We start from the raw sequence: 15,849 nt of genomic DNA on the forward strand, positions 1-15,849 counted from the left end.
CCAAGTAGCTGGGATTACAGGTGCCCGCCACCATGCCCGGCTAATTTTTGTATTTTTAGTAGAGACAGGGTTTCACCATGTTGGTCAGGCTGGTCTCAAACTCCTGACCTCAGGTGATCTACCCGCCTCGGCCTCCTAAAGTGCTGGGATTATAGGCGTGAGCCACTGCACCCGGCCAAGAGAGGAGAGAATTTCTAGAGTGATGATCCTGAATAGGCCTCTGGCTTGCCCCTCTCTCACTCCCCCGCCCCCTCCCCTCCTTTCCCCCTCCTTTCTCCTTTCTCCTTCTTCCCTTCCCTTCCTTTCTCTCTTTCTCTCTCTCTCTCTCTTTCTCTCTCTCTCTTTCTTTCTTTCTTCTTTTTACTTTTTCCCCCTAGAAATGGGGTCCTGCTCTGTCACCCAGGCTGGAGTGCAGTAGCATGATCATAGCTCACTATAACCTCGAACTCCTGGGCTTGAGGGATCCTCCCACCTCCGTCTCCCAAGTAGCTGGGACTACAGGCAGAGGCTACCACACCCGGCTATTTAAAAAATTTTTCGTATATATGGGGGTCTTACTATATTGTCTAGGCTGATCTTGAATGCCTGGCCTCAGGCAATCCTTCTACCTTGGCTTCCTGAGTCACTGGGATTACTGGCGTGAGCCACTGAGCCGGCCTCTGGCTTTAATTCTTAGGAGTAAACCAAATTTCTTTCTCAAATCCTTCCTCCTCCAGTCACCCCTTTTTCTGTAAGTAGCGTGATTATTTTCCCAGGCAATAGTTCTCTAAATTTAGGTGGCTTCTCTCTTTATCTCTTCACTGAAACCCAGATGCTAAGACCAGGTGGGTTGGGGAGACCCTAACCCAGTGGCGCTAGAGGAATTAAACACACACACACAGAAATATAGAGGTGTGAAGTGGGAAATCAGGGGTCTCACAGCCTTCAGAGCTGAGAGCCCCGAACAGAGATTTACCCACATATTTATTAACAGCAAACCAGTCATTAGCATTGTTTCTATAGATATTAAATTAACTAAAAGTATCTTTTATGGGAAATGAAGGGATGGGCTGAATTAAAGGAATAGGTTGGGCTGGTTAACTGCAGCAGGAGCATGTCCCTAAGGCACAGATCGTTCATGCTATTGCTTGTGGCTTAAGAATGCCTTTAAGTGGTTTTCCACCCCGGGCGGGCCAGGTGTTCCTTGCCCTCATTCCCATAAACCCACAACCTTCCAGCTTGGGCATTAGGGCCATTATGAACATGTTACAGTGCTGCAGAGATTTTGTTTATGGCCAGTTTTGGGGCCAGTTTATGGCCAGATTTTGGGGGGCCTGCTCCCAACACCCAGACAGTTGCCAAGGCCTCTCAACTCACTCTTCAGCACAACTCTCAAAGGTGTCTCCTTTCCATTTGCTCCATCTCTGCCCAATTTCAGGCCCTTAGAGCATATGTAAGTCATCATATCACTGTTCTAATTGGCTACCTCCTTTTCATATATTTCCCCCCCTCTCGCCTCCTGCATTCATCCTTCAAATATGTTATTTCTTTGACTACAAAATGTCAGTGCTCCCCATGGCCTCTTAAAAATGAGACCTAGGCCGGGCACAGTGGCTCACGCCTGTAATCCCAGCACTTTGGGAGGCCGAGGCGGGCGGATCACAAGGTCAGGAGATCGAGACCATCCTGGCTAACACAGTGAAACCCTGTCTCTACTAAATATATATATATATATAAAATTAGCCGGGCATGGTGGCGAGCATCTGTAGTCCCAGCTACTCAGGAGACTGAGGCAGGAGAATGGCGTGAACCCGGGAGGCGGAGCTTGCAGTGAGTCGAGATCGCGCCACTGCACTCCAGCCTGGGCGACAGAGCGAGACTCTGTCTCAAAAAAAAAAAAAAATAATGAGACCTAAATTATAAACTTGGCCCTCCATCATCAAGCCCAAACCTACTTTTCCAGACTTACCTCCAGCTGTTCCAGAATTACTCGTTCACCCACTAATCTTCCTGCTTTCCAACTTCTTTGTCTTGTATGCTATTGTCCATACTTTATCACCTCCTACTGAAATCCACCCCAGACCTCCAGGGCCAGCTCAAAAAGTTTCTTCCGTGCTGGGACCTTCCCATATCACCCAGTTGCATGTACAATCAAGGGTCACAGACTGTCAGAGTGGAGAGGTCCATTTGTAAGGACAGAATTCACCAATTTCATGGATGGCGCAGTACAGTCTTCCAGCTGTAGCTCTTTTTCTCCACTATATTTATTTAACTCTACTCCATAAATATGTGTTGAGTACCTGGGCTGTACCTAGGTACTATGCTAGGTACCCATGACACAGAGATGAGTCAGTCATATACAGTGACCCCAAGGAAAAGCAAGGTATACCTACTTACAAGGTATAAAGTTAAACATTGAGTTTGCATGGAGAAGAGTGTGATGAACTCGGGAGAAATGATTGGAAGGTCAGAGAAGGCACAATAGAAAAGGGGATATTAAGCTCATATTTTTAGGATAAGATGGATAAGGTGTGTTGGTGGGTACTTGGGGGTAGAGAGTACTGTGTGTATAAGGGCTGAGCAGTGTGAACTAGCAAGGCCCAATTTGAGAAACACGAGTGGGGGCTGAATTGCTGAAGCATCCACACAGGCAGAAAGGAGAATGCCTTTAAATGAGACAGGAGAGGCTGGCAGGAGACTGAGGGCCATGTGGACCATATAAGAAGCCTGGACTTTTTCCTGTGGGTTATAGCGTCGTTAAATAGCTCCAAGCTCATGGAAGCAAGGACTTTGTCTTGTTCACCACTATATCCCTAGTGCCTAGGACTGAGCCCAAAACATAATAGATCATCTTAGTTTGGATTCACCCAAAAGGAACCTTGAAAAGAGGATCGGGTGCAGGTGGTCTAGGTGGCAGGTCATCCCTGCAAGCACAAGTGAAGGAAGGGGAAAGTGAGAGAAGGAAAGGAGAAAAGCCAATACACAGAATGTTGGTGAGCAGGTTGTTGCTGTGGGCAATTGGGAATTGACCCTGCTGGGGATTCCCGAGGATCCCTGTGGAAGTTGTCTCAAATTTATCCCACCGAGGGGAGGATACATTGGAATATTTATCCAGTAACACAGCCTTTTTTTTTTTTTTTTTTTTTTTTTTGAGACAGAGTCTTGCTTTGTTGCCCAGGCTGGAGTGCAATGGCACGATCTTGGCTCACTGCATCCTCTGCCTCCCAGTTTCAAGAGATTCTCGTGCCTCAGCCTCCCAAGTAGCTGGGATTACAGGCTCCCACCACCATGTCCAGATAATTTTTGTAGTTTTAGAGATGGGGTTTCGCCATGTTGGCCAGGCTGGTCTTGAACTTCTGACCTCAGGTGATCCACCTGCCTCAGCCTCCCAAAGTGCTGAGATTACAGGCGTGAGCCACCACGCCCAGCTAACTCAGCCTTTAAAGTGTTGATGATTGCCCCTGAGGGTGTTAAGTCCCAGGCACTTCAGGGCTGTCTGGTGCACAGGTGTGCAAGTTCTCCTGGTGTTCCAGAAAACCCGCAGGACGAGAATCAGAGTGTTTCCAGGTTTCGAGGTGGGAAGCTGTCAGCACACAGACGTTGTCCACGTGCTTGCTGCAGGTAACCTCAGAGATGGGCCATTGGATATGAGGCAGGGCACCTGCCTGGTCTGCTGCACAGGTGTTCAATATCTGTTGCACAAGTACGTCGTATGTATGTCTTCCTTCCCTGCCTAGCCTTCAATTGCCTTGAGGCAGGAACTATGTATTGCAGAGGCCAGGCACAGTAAAGCACAAATCTTTACAAATGTGGGTTGCATAAAAGAAAGTAAAATGTTTGATGGGGAAAAGTAAAGTGGGTGGTAAGGGTCAACCTAGCTAATAAAAATAGGTATAAATAAATATGACTAGTTGAGCATCATATTTATCGATGTCCTTACAAGCAAAGCGGCAGGGGAGAGGACATATATTGGTGGCATCATTGAGCCTGTATACTAAAGGACTCTCTTGTAATTTCTCTGTATTCCATAGTGGAGGGGCTTGATATTTTCCCTTGTGCTCCCACTTATGAGGATTGAATGAGCTGACTACCCAATGAACACTGAAAATTAACAAAACAAAATAAATGAGCTGAGTGTGCAGGTGCTTTGAGAAACATAAAACTTGAAGCATGGGACCTGCTGGAGCTTGGTTGGGTTGAACATTGGTGGCTAGACTCCCCTTTCCCAGGGGAAAATTGACCATAGGTACCAAAAGTTAAATGTGCATAGCCTTTGGCTGTGGAATTGTTTGTGGATTCTTGGGGTGGGGCTGGTATGACTGCCGTTTAGGGGACCCTAATGCTGAACAGGTACCATGGACCTCTGAAGGCAGAGCAGGGCCCAGACCTGCTTGACCTGGGGTCTGGAGGGGGTGGATTTCCTTCTATCAGGGGAAAGAAGACCAGTAAGACACAACTGAAGGCTGCGTGGGGATGGCTGCCTTGCCACCCTGCCTTTCACCTGCTTTAGAAATGACCCATGGAAGGAAAAAGGCATCTGAAACAAGGCCTTCGGACAACCAGGGGCTGGCTGTCTGCACCCACTCCCCAGGCTTCCCTGCATTTGGCTCCCACCTCTCCCAGCTCTCACCTGGGAGGCTCTGGCTTGGTCCCCCGGCCACCAATTCTGCCTCCAGACAAGTCTGCTGAGTTTTTTTTGAAAATTGACTTTAATAATCCAGATTTGGTTCAGCCTGAAATTGTCCTTCCTGAGAGCATCAGGGGAAGTATGAGGAATGGGAAGCTTCCCATGTGGCCTTAATCAGCTACGAGGTTGTGACTCAGAGTAGGGAATGGCTCAAAGACGTCCTAAAATGGGAAGAAACAAGGGATTTTCAGTTAATGCACTCAGGCAGTGGTTGCCACTCCCCTCCCTCTCCCCTTCCCCCACCAAGTGCAGAACCAATCTCAATAGCAGTCTCAAGTCCCTTCCCTTGTTCCCCATCTCTAATCCCGTCTCCTTCCCAGGATTTTCCAAGAGACACATTAGGGGTTTCTCAGGTTGCCTGAGCCTGAGGCATAGCAGCTCCTTGTTTGCATACTTGACAGAACCATGGCAACCAGTCCCCATCATGGGGTCAGTCACAAGACTAATGATGTGGCCCAGCAGACAATCCAAGCAAAGGAGCCCTGCTGCCATGGTGATGGGGGGCGGGGACCACCAGTTTCCTTGAAGGGCTGAGGGGCTGGAGCACCTCTGAGATACAGGTTGCCCTAATGGAGCCCATCTAGAAGTTTCCCAGATCCACTGCCACGATCATAGTCCCAGGTCCCAGGATCCCACCTGGACAACCTGGTTGCCCCAAACAGGTCTACCTGTTTCCACTCTTGTCCATTTCAAAATCCATTTTCCAACAGCATCAGTGTGTCTTTATAAAATGCTTATCATATTGTCCTACTCTCTTCCTTAAAAATCCTCCAATGCCTTCCCACTACACTTTGAATAACACCCGACCCCCTGTCTATGGACTATAAGCTCCAAGTAGTCATGGGCCTATTTTCCAAGCTCATCTGCTGTCACAGGACTGTGTCTGTTCCCCCAACAAGCCCTGGAATCTCATCTAACAGCAGACGTATTTGAAAGCCTCTTTGCCTTGGAGACTCTTCCTCCAGATCTCCCCCGGGCTGCCTCCTTGTCATTTAGGTCTAAGTTTAAATGTCACCTCCTGAGGCCCTACTTAGCCTAAGGTGTGTGAAACAACCCAACCTTTACTGGGGTCGCTGAGAGGAAGGGTAGGGGCTGTGCAGGGGGACGGCTGGGAGTCAGGATACAGGGGCTAGTCCTGGCTCCACACTTGTCCAGGCTGGACCTGAGCTTCTTATCTATAAAGATGGCTGGAGGTACAAGACGGGTAGTTTTCTATTTGAGCTCCAAAGGGCTCAGTGGTCCCAAGGAGATGCCTGAGAGCCTTGCCCAGGTGACTTAGTCAACACCACAGAGATAAGCAAGGGGGTTGGAGGGCTGATGTGAGAGACTCTGGGCCCTCCTCTCTAACTCAGGGAGAGAAGTGCCCCCCACACGTACATACACATGCACATATATGTGTATACAGCATATGTATATGTAAGGGTGGGTAAGGTTAGGATTGGGGTCATGGCACACTTGGAATTCTCAGAAAAACAGCCCATATGTTTTTGTTGGGGGCGGGGTTGTGTTTTTTGTTTTTTGAGACAGGGTCTCACTCTGTCACCCAGGCTGGAGTGCAGTGGTGCAATCATAGCTCACAATAACCTTGAACTCTTGAGTTCAAGCTAATCTTCTTGCCTTAGCCTCCTGAGTAGCTATGACTACAGGTGTGTGCCAGCACACTTTTAAATTTTTGTAGAGACAGGGATCTTGTTATGTCACCCAGGCTGGTCTCGAACTCCCGGCCCTGAGTGATCCTCCCAATGTGCTGGGATTACAGGCATATGAACCACCACGACCAACCCACAGAGAGCCTATATGTTTTTTAAAAACATTGGAAAACCTCTGAAGCAGATTTCTGCAGACCCTTCAATTTCTGTGCACATGATTGATTGTACAGGACCAAGCCATCGGAAGCCCCAGTCCCTGCATCCTGAGTTGCGGCAATCTACGAAAGGGAGACTCTGAGAGACAGAGAAAGTGGGGGCGCCCTCCAGTGGGGAAATGAAGAATTTTCCTTCCATCCAGAACTGCTGACTGGCCTTTATTACATTGCCTCTAATTCTCACAGCAGCCAGGGAGGATGGCCATTATGACCACTCCACCGATGTGGAAGGAGGGCTTGTAGAGCTTCAGTAAGGTCATGACTGGGAAGCAGCAGTGCCAGGACTGGCCTGGGTCTGTCTGTGTGGAAAGCTGTGTTCCTTCCCATCCATCAGGCCCATGCTTCCAGAAGATTCTCCATGAGGCTCTGCCCTCAGTGAAGCCCTGTCAGTCCTCATGCTGCCAATGTCAATCCCCTCCATCACTCTGCCTCCCTCTTGAAATAGCCCTTGCTGGGCTCAGGCTTCCTGAACAAGGCCAGGCCCTTACCTGGAGCAGGGCCTTGGTGTGGCTGGTCACCTCTTGGTTCAGGACCTCTGAAACCGCTTCAGATTTAAAGCATTGCTCCCTGCTCACCCTGGTCATGGGGTTCTGATGGGAGGGGAGCCAGGAGCCAAGAGTGAGGAGAAAATGGTGAACAGGCCCAGAGGAAAAGAGAAGGGGCCGAAGTGAAGGATTTCAAAATCTCTGAGGGAAACTCACTTTAGGGGACAAGAGTCTCCTTGTGCTTGCTCCTAGAAAACCAAGATTAAGCAGGGATAACAAATGGGAACTGTACTTTCCAGCCCCTTCCCTCTGCAGACATCACTAATGGATCGTGGATTCCTTCTGGTGGAAATCAGATGGGAGCTCTTATTGTTCCATTCCCTGAGCTCCTGATGGCTCCTACCTGCAGCCCTGATAACTCATGCCCTTCCCAGCTACTCTGTCTACCGGCAGGTGCAGTGCGGACCAACCGTAGGCCCAACACACCTCACCCTGGTGACTCTGGTGGGAAAGGCTGCCTGTCCGCTCCTCAGATGGGCCTCTGGGGCATGGAGCCAGGGCGTGTGCTCTGTCTGCTGGGTCCTCACACCTTGAGTGATGTCATCCTTCCAGAACAATCCTGCAGAGTGAAAGGATGGGATGAATTGACACTTGGGGCACTCTGATTGGCCCATCCCAGAAACAAAAGTGTGATTAGAATTTTTCCTTTCCCCAAAATGCACAGGTACCACAATGCAGAGGGCCAGTGGAGGGGTCCGGAGACTGACTGGGGTACAGGAGTTTGCCTTCTGCCCACCGCCATGGCTTAAATCCTTGCTCTTGCTAGCTCTATGGCCATGAGAAACAGTTAAACTTGCTGAAGCTATTTTCTCGCTCATGAAGCGACGAACTTCATAGCATTAAGAGAATGAAAGGAGATAGTGCACACACATTTCCTAGCTTATTGTTTGGCAAGCAATAAGTGATCAAATGAGAACTGTATTTTACTTTTATTTTTAGCTACACCTGCTAGAAAGGGACAAATAGGAATTTTTAAATGATGCTGCTGTGAGAATCAAATAAGGTTGAAGATAGAAAGTGTGCTTCCAGGCCAGGCTTGGTGGCTTATGCCTGTAATCCCAGCACTTTGGGAGGCTGGGGCGGGTAGATCACTTGAGGTCAGGAGATCGAGACCAGCCTGGCCAACATGATAAAACCCTATCTCTACTAAAAATACAAAAGTTAGCCCGGTGTGGTTGTGCATGCCTGTAGTCGTAGCTGCTTGGGAGGGTGAGGTATGAGAATCACTTGAACCCGGGAAGCGGAGGTTGCAGTGAGCCAAGATAGTGCCACTGCACTCCAGCCTGGGTGACAGAGCGAGACCCTGTCTCAAAAAAAAAGAGTACTTCTAGAACCCTAGGACATTACACATTGTATACTATGATTATTAGTAGTAATTTGAACTCAAAGCGGATCTCCCTTCTGAAGCCTGAAGCCACACACTCTGCTTTCAGGGAAGGGTCAGATACTTTTCCCCAGGAAAAATATCCTTCCACCCTCCACTCTGGCCTTTCATGTCTTCCACTTGTCATACTCTCTGAACTGCCCACCTCCTTAATTCAGAGTCTGAAGTATGTGTGTGGGGGTGGGAGGGACCTGGTTCTGGCTGAGGACTGCAAGATTCCTAGCTCTGGAGCAGTCAGACAGCACCAGGGGTGGTGAGCCAGGCCCGAGGAGATAGATGCTGGCCTCTTCTGGGGACTTCCAGTGGCCTCTGCTGTGTTCCTCTAGAGTCCACGTGGGAACGACTCCCCAGCTTAGGTTGCACCATGACTTCTGTCTTGCCCCATCTCTAGCAGAGACTGGGCAGGTGAGGCTCCAGAGGCGGTATGATGAGAAAGTTTCAGGCAGGGAATTTTAAGGGAGGAGGTTTTAATGTCAAGTTGGAGATTCCCTCTATAGTATCTACCCCTATATTTGACCAAACCCAGTCCCTTTCCTCCAGCCCTCCCAGGTCTCACCTTGAGGCACCGGCTGCCGAGCACACCTTGCTAGTATCGGAAGACCACGTGGATGCTGTCTTCGAGGGGCGTGGCCTGCAGTACTCCCACCTGGGTCTGCCCCTCTAAGGGAATGAGAATGAAATGAGTAGGTACCTGGGCCAAAAGCCTTCAAAAGGCAGCATCCTCTCCATTGTCACTCCCATATCCCCACGTCTCCCTTCCTCTGCCGGTCTCCTCCCACTTCCGAGCTATCTATCCTCTCTCCCTCCCTGGCCACCCTCTTCATATTCTGGGTCTCATGCACTCTTGGTACAGACTTCTAGGTAAGAACAGAGTCTTCAGGCAAAGAGGCAGGCTGTGGAGGGACACTTGAACAGAGTCTCAGATGGCTACAAAAACTGAATGGACAGACAGGTGGGCAGGCTAGATAATGGGGGAAGTTCAGTTGCTTCCTGGGAGGAGTTCTGGAATCCTTGGAAGACTACAGCATGGAACCTAGCTTCAGACAGGGCTGGCGAGTCCAGATCATTTTCCTGGAAGCCACGGTATACCCAACTCACAATGAGGGGATGACCTTTCTATGATACAGACCCTCCTCCTGGATACGGATCATCTCCATCCAGGCAGATGGGGCCAGTTGGAAGAGAAGCCAGGCTTTTCCCATCCTAATTTTTCTCCTCCTCCAGTTCACAAGTAGATCCTAATAATGATGCCAAAAAAGGCGAGGGCCCCATGCAAAAAGACAAATAACCCAATTTAAAAATGGGGGCAAATCTGAACAGACATTCTTAAAAAGGATAAACAACTGGCCAATAAGCACATGGAAGGATGCTGAACTCCATGAGCCATCAGGGAAATGCAGATCAAAACCACAATTAGGCTGGGCGTGGTGACTTATGCCCGTAATCCTAGCACTTTGGGAGGCCGAGGCAAGTGGATCACTTGAGGTCAGGAGTTCGAGACCAGTCTGGCCAACATGGTGAAACTCCATCTCTACTAAAAACACAAAAATTAGCCAGGCATGGTGTCGTGTGCCTGTAATCCCAGCTACTCAGGAGGCTGAGGCAGGAGAATCACTAGAACCCAGGAGGTGGAGGTTGCAGTGAGCCGAGATCGCACCACTGCACTCCAGCCTAGGCGACAGAGCAAGACTCCATCTCAAAACAAAACAAAACAAACAACCACAATGAGACACCACTTCACACACACTAAAGTGGTTACAATCAACAGGATGGTTAATAACAAGCATTCGGGAGGATGTGCAGAAACTGGAATGTTTCTACACTGCTGCTGGGAATGTAAAGTGGTCCAGCTGCTGTGGAAATAGTCTGGCAGTTTCTCAAAATGTTAAACAGGCCAGGCACAGTGGCTCATGCCTGTAGCCCCAGCACTTTGGGAGGCTGAGACAGGTGGATCATCTGAGGTCAGGAGTTCAAGACCAGCCTGACCAACATGGTGAAACCCTGTCTCTACTAAAAATACAAAAATTAGCCAGGCATGGTGATGCACACCTGTAGTCCCAGCTGCTTGGGAGGCTGAGGCAGGAGAATCAATTGAATCTGGGAGGCGGTGGTTGCAGTGAGCCGAGATCGCACCATTGCACTCCAGCCTGAGCAACAGAGCCAGACTCCATCTCAAGGAAAAAAAAAAAAAGTTAAATAATAGAGTGACCATATGACCCAGCAATTTCACTCCTAGATGTATACTTAAGAGAAGTGAAAACAGATATCCACACAAAAACCTGTACATGGATTTCATAGCTGCATTATTCATAATAGCTACAAAGTGGAAACAACTCAAATGTCCATCAATTGATGAATGGAGAAACAAGATACAATGGGAATACTCTTCATCAATTACAAGAAAAGAAGTGCTGATACATGCTACAACATGGAAGAGCCCTGGAAATATTATGCTAAATGCAAGAAGCTAGTCACAAAAGGCCACAGGTTGTGTGACTCCATTTATATGAAATGTGCAGAATAGGGAAACCCATAGAGATAGGAAGTACATTGGTGGTTGCCTAGGGCTGAGGAGGGTGGTTGGGGGAGGGAATGGGAAGTGGCTGCTAATGGGCACAGTTTTCTTTTTGGGGTAATGAAAATGTTACAAAATCGATTGTGGTGATGGTTGTGCAACTCTGTGAATATACTAAAAGCCATTTTAAATGGCTGAATTATATGTCAATAACATTATTTAAAAATCACTAATAACTGGCCAGGCATAGTGGCTCATGCCTGTAATCCCAGCATTTTGGGAGGCCGAGGCGGGCAGATCACCTGAGGTCAGGAGTTTGAGACCAGCCTGATCAACATGGAGAAACCCTGTCTCTTACTAAAAATACAAAATTAGCCGGGCATGGTGGTGCATGCCTGTAATCCCAGCTACTCCGGAAGCTGAGACAGGAGAATCGCTTGAACCTGGGAGGTGGAGGTTGCAGTGAGCTGAGATCGCGCCATTGCGCTCCAGTTTGGGTAACAAGAGCGAAACTCTGTCTCAAACAAACAAACAAACAGACAAAGAACGACAAAAAAACACTAATAACTTTAACAAAATGGAAGCACAGCGTTCCCCAAACTTTAGTTATTTGAGAACCACCAACATGATTTTTGACTTATCTTTGTACCATTGTGCTATTACTGCCTTACTCTTCAAGTTGATGATTCATGCTTTTTATTTATGTGAAATTATTTTAAATTTATTATTTATTTAGAGACAGGGTCTTACTCTGTCTCCCAGGCTGGAGTGCAGTGGTGCAATCTTGGCTCACTGCAACCTCCGCTTCCCAGGTTCAAGCAATTCTCCTTCCTCAGCCACTCGAGCAACTGGGATTACAGGTGCGCACCACCAAGCCCAGCTAATTTTTGTATTTTTAGTAGAGATGGGATTTCACCGCGTTGGCCAGGCTGGTCTCTAACTCCTGACCTCAAGTGATCCACCCGCCTTGGTCTCCCAAAGTGCTGTGATTACAGCTGTGAGCCACCGCGCCCAGCCAAGTGAAATTATTTTAAAGGGCAACTTTGCTACTGTAAATGGAAAAAACCGTGTTTCTTGGCGTAAGTAGAAGCTAATTATAAAATATAAAGACAGACTCCAAAGAAAAAGAAGATATGTGTAGAGAGACCCCAGCACCCTACCCGTGAGGAGGGACTTCAGGACTGAGGCAGTAGTCCCAGGACTGATAAGTAAAGAGCGACCTTGGGCGCCCCCCCCCCGCTGTCATCAGCGCTGACGCCCTGGACCCACACAGCGGCGGGGTTTGGTTTGACGTGGCTCCCAAAGGCGAGGGCGGAGCTGGGGAAGGTGAGAGCACCCAGGCATCCGCACAGGCGTGACCCTCTGCCCACCAGGCACCCTGCCCACACAGCGCGCCGCAGGAAGCCCTCCGCATTGGTGTCCAAGCTCGAGCACCAGGTGGAGGAACCCGTGGCCATCGGGTGTGGGGTGTGCAGGGTGCGGAGAAGGCTAGGATTCCTCCCAATCCTCTGCTGCGCCCTCCCCCAGCCGCCTCCCCAGGTTGAGGGGAGGCCCCGGCCCAGGACTGGGCTCTTCCCGAGGTGGGGACTGGATGCCCGCGCTCCGGACTCCTGCCGGAGATGCCAACCCCCCAGCGCTGGGCACCTTGCCTTGACCCCTCAGCGCGTCTCACATGGCCCGGATCTCGGTCCCTTGGGCACTCCCTCTTGCCCAACTCCGAATTGGAGTTCTTGTAGTTCTAGTTTCCACCCCGTCTTCCGACGTTTAAGACCCCGCTTCCAAGACGCCCTCTGGCTTTCTCTTCCCATCCCGCACACTTCCCTAGCTTCTGAGCTGTGTGCACCCACCAACCCGCAGCCCTCCCTCAGGATCGCCCCTGCCCTTCCCCCAGGTTTCCTCCTGACGGTGGGGACTAATGGCGTCCCAGCCCCCCGGGCGGCTGCTCAGCAGCAGGAAGCAGAGAATCAGAGGCACCCCCGCTGGGCCCCGAGCCCCATGCGCGCGCAGGGGCCCCCGCATCTTGTTGGGCGCGCGCTGCCCCGCCTGCACCGCAGCGACCGCGGCCAGAGCCAGGCCAGGCGGCTCTGCGCGTCCCTCTCTCCGCAGCGCGGCCAGTCGGAGGCCGGCTGCAGCAAGGTCCCCAACCCCGGCTCTCCCGTGTCTTGGCGTCAGAGTCCTGCTTTTAAGAGTGGGGTGTTGCCTGAATATGGTCGACCCCTATCTAGAATCCCAACCCCCTACCCGCCTACACACACACACACACACACACACACACACACACACCCCCACACACCATATTGCCTCCCCCTCACTCCCACTTCTTATCACCAGGGATTAACGATGGGGGGGGGGGCTTGATAAAATCCAGAATTGCATATTGGCAAATGGCACTGGGTGTCCTTCTTGAGAAGCAGTGTCCCTTACTTGTTAAAATAGTGTGCTGGGACCGGGTGCGGTGGCTCACGCCTGTAATTCCAGTACTTCGGGAGGCTGAGGTGGGAGTATAGATTGAACCCAGGAGTTTGAGACCAGCCTGGGCAACATAGTTAGACCCCGTCTCTAAAAAAAAATTTAAAAATTAGCCGGGTGTGGTGGCAGGCACCTGTGGTCCCAGCTACTTGGGAGGCTGAGGTGGGAGGCTCATGTGAGTCCGGGAGGTCAAGGCTGCAGTGAATCGTGATCCTGTACTCCAGCCTGGGTGACAGAGCAAGACCCTGTCTCTCTCTTCCTACCCCTCTCCGGGCAAAAAAGACAGTGTGCTGGAGCCAAATCCAAATACCTGCAGGCAGTTTTTTGCTTCCTCTGTGCCCCAGTTCCCTCACCTGTAAAATGAGTTTGACAGTAGCGTCTAGCTTACAGTGTTCTTAGAAGGATTAATAAGTTTAACACCTTTGAAGGATTTAGAAATATGATGGGACCAGCACATCATAAGCATACATCAGAAGCACTCAATTAACGTTGGCTATTACTGTTCTTTTTGATGCTCCCTCTCTGTCAGTGGCACCTCCTATGCATTGTTCAGGTTTCTCCCTGCAAAAATTTTCTCTTACAGTTTACATTTTTCCCAGACCCAATGCCATTGCCCTTGTTCAAACCACCATCATCTTTCTTTTATTTTTATTTTTGTAAATGTTTAATAGAGACAAGATCTTATGTTGCCTAGGCTGGTTTCAAACTTCCAGGGTCAAGTGAACCTCCTGCCTCAGTCTTACAAAGTGCTGGGATTACAGGCGTGAGCCACCATGCCCAGCTGGCCATCGTCTTTCACCTGTTACAGAAATTGAATCTCATCTAGTTGCCTGGAGTAACTAATGACTTGGGGTGTGTTCTAGGAGTCTGGGATTGTGTCTGGTGTACTGTAGGTGCTCAGTCGTTCTTGTTGAATATTTGTTGTTCCACTCTTGCCTCCCTGTAATCTCTTAAGCACCAGGAGAAGCTTTCCAAAATATAAATTAAAGCATGTTATTCCCTTGCTTAACACCATCCAATGGATCACCTCATTTACACTTTTGAATAAACGCTAAATTCCCGACCATGGCCTATGAGCCCCAACGTGATCTAGCCTTGCCTTCCTCTCCAGCCTCATTTCCTTCTCTCATCTTGCTCTCTCTGTTCCCAGCCTCCTTTCCATTCTTTGAACACCTGAGTCCTTCTCAAAGGCCATTTCTGCTTCTCCCCACCCTCCATTGTTATCTCTTTGTTCTAGTATAACCCTCCCCACCAAGTAGTTTCTGGTCCCTAGGAATAATTGTCACTTCATTACCTTCATGACTCTTACCACTGTCCATGACTTCTTCGTTTTTTGTTGTTGTTGTTGTTGTTGTTTGTTTGTTTTGTTTGTTTTGAGATGGAGTTTTTGCTCTGTTGCCCAGGTTGGAGCGCAATGACGATCTTGGCTCACTGCAACCTCTGCCTCTTGGGTTCAAGCAATTCTCTTGCCTCAGCCTCCCAAGTAGCTGGGATTGTAGGCGCCTGCCACCACACCCAGCTAATTTTTGTATTTTTATTAGAGATGAGGTTTCACCATGTTGGCCAGGCTGGTCTTGAACTCTTGACCTCAGGTGATCTACCTGCCTTGGCCTCCCAAAGTTCTAGGATTACAGATATGAGCCACCGCGGCCGATGGACTTCTTCCTTTGTTTACTTGTTTATTTGCGTCTCCCCACTGGAGTGTAAATTTCAAGAGGACAGAAGACATGTCTGTTTGATTTGCTATCACATCCTCAGTGTCTGGCTCAGGACCTAGCTCAGCCTGGATGCTCCAAAATGAAACAGATTTTGGGTCCTGAGGCCCCAGATGAAACACCTCTGCCTCAGTGCTCTTATCTGTTAGATGGGCAGCTCATCAGGGTGACTGTGAAAATGAAATGAGATGATGGATATAAAGCAGCCTCGTGTTGCACAAATGCATTGTGAGTTGAATTCTAGTTCCTTTCAGCTTCAGCCTCTCTGGGTTTGTAGATTTCGGCTATGCCCCAAGGTTTCAAGGTGAAAGACCTTGAAACCCAGAAGGGCAGAGAGGCCTGGTCTGGTAGAGAATCAGGAGCAGAATCCAGGAGACCTGCCTTACAGCTCACCAGGGGGAAGGTGTGAGACAGCCCACCTGACCCCAGGGAACAAAGGCTGCCCACCTTGATAGGGAGAGGGTGGGCCACCATGCCTGTGCCTCTTCTTGGATAGCCAGTGGGGATGGTGCTATCATTGCACTGAGGCCTGCAAGACTCAGGCCACCACCCTTTGTCGGGAAACAAGGTCTTCCCTCAAGGACAGGATCACCTCTGGTGGGAATCTCCTAGAGAAGAGGCAGCTCCTCAGGCCAGGCACGGTGGCTCACGCCTGTAATCCCAGCACTTTGGGAGGCCGAGGCGGGTAGAT

General features: G+C 49.6%; 1 long non-coding RNA gene across 1 annotated transcript, besides 1 other annotated feature; it reads right to left on the reverse strand.

The window, feature by feature from the left end:
• Positions 1 to 4,676: 4,676 nt before the first annotated feature.
• Positions 4,677 to 9,175, reverse strand: LOC107985835 (uncharacterized). Its single transcript, XR_001739232.1, has 3 exons — positions 9,016 to 9,175; positions 7,502 to 7,634; positions 4,677 to 4,827 (listed from the first exon to the last, which is right to left on the reverse strand). It is a non-coding gene; the product is annotated as an uncharacterized LOC107985835 (long non-coding RNA).
• Positions 6,507 to 6,716: an enhancer, noted in NCBI's record as "active region_17150". NCBI's record gives its function as "activates an Ori minimal core promoter by ATAC-STARR-seq in GM12878 lymphoblastoid cells {active_cell/tissue: GM12878}" and the evidence as "EXISTENCE:reporter gene assay evidence [ECO:0000049][PMID:35858748]".
• Positions 9,176 to 15,849: the final 6,674 nt, after the last annotated feature.

Source organism: Homo sapiens, chromosome 2, assembly GCF_000001405.40.
Source record: "Homo sapiens chromosome 2, GRCh38.p14 Primary Assembly".
NCBI classification, from domain to species: Eukaryota; Metazoa; Chordata; class Mammalia; order Primates; family Hominidae; genus Homo; species Homo sapiens.